We start from the raw sequence: 994 nt of genomic DNA, 5'->3' as shown, positions 1-994 counted from the left end.
AGACGGAGGGCCTGGGGGTGTGCGCGCGGCAACTTCCAACTCAGGTATGACTAGAAAGGCCAATGGCACTAGGAGAGTGTGGGAAAGACAATGAAGAGAGGAAGGAAAAAAAGAATGAGGAACAAATGAAGGTTTCAGGTGACAGAGAACGCCGTGGCTCAAATGTTTTCCTGAGCATTACACACAAAGAGAAGCAGGCAAGGACAGAAGTGCAGGCTTCCCGAGAACCTGGGAAACATTTGTGTATGTGGCACTTTGTGGATGATGAGCAAGGACCCAGTGATCCATGTCTCCTGGCTGTGACCATGCAGCCAGTATGTGACCTGGTCAGGATTTGAACACAGGCAGGGCCAACCCTCCCTCCGCGCCCTGACAGCCACCCTGCTGTTTCCAGTTGGCCTCTGCTATTGGCTCCTGAGCTGCCCCTGACTGGGGATACTGCATAACATCGTCCAGTACCCTAGTACTAGTTACACAGGAACAACAGGCGTTAACCAGAACCATGCCAGGCAAACTAGGATGATGGTCACTGAGCCAGAGGAAGAGGTGGCCCAAATACTGCCTAGTGGGAGCATTGTCCAGAGAAGGGAAGAAGAATGGTCCAGCACTAACATAGATGACCACAAAAGGTGCCAGAGGTTGGGCTGCAGCATGGCCTCCAGGATTTGAGTGTGATGTGGGGGTACTGAGTGCTCACACACTGCCCACCTGGCTCACATGAGGTGGTCACACCTCGGGCATTGTCGGGGATTTGAAAAATGTTTGCAGCTTCATGTCTTTTGGGCTGGGTCTCCCTTCATTTTGTGTCCACTGCTGAGCCTCAGAGTGCCCGGTCCAGTTTGGCCTGGGGACAGTCTGTTGCTTCCAAGAGTCATTTCCAGGGTCAGCTTCATTTTACTGATGCTGAGACCTCCAAATGCCCTTAGTACTAGGGATGTCACCCCCCACCAACCGAGGAGAAATGTCAATGCTCAAGTTCAGAACACCAGGAGAC

The 994-nt window shown here is 52.5% G+C and overlaps 1 annotated feature.

Moving 5' to 3' along the window:
- Nucleotides 1–501: an enhancer, noted in NCBI's record as "H3K4me1 hESC enhancer chr10:48402901-48403401 (GRCh37/hg19 assembly coordinates)". NCBI's record gives its function as "activates a minimal SCP1, AML or CMV promoter by ChIP-STARR-seq in primed H9 embryonic stem cells {active_cell/tissue: H9 hESC(primed)}" and the evidence as "EXISTENCE:reporter gene assay evidence [ECO:0000049][PMID:30033119]".

Source organism: Homo sapiens, chromosome 10, assembly GCF_000001405.40.
Source record: "Homo sapiens chromosome 10, GRCh38.p14 Primary Assembly".
NCBI classification, from domain to species: Eukaryota; Metazoa; Chordata; class Mammalia; order Primates; family Hominidae; genus Homo; species Homo sapiens.
This window is presented reverse-complemented; position numbering and strand designations above follow the sequence as displayed.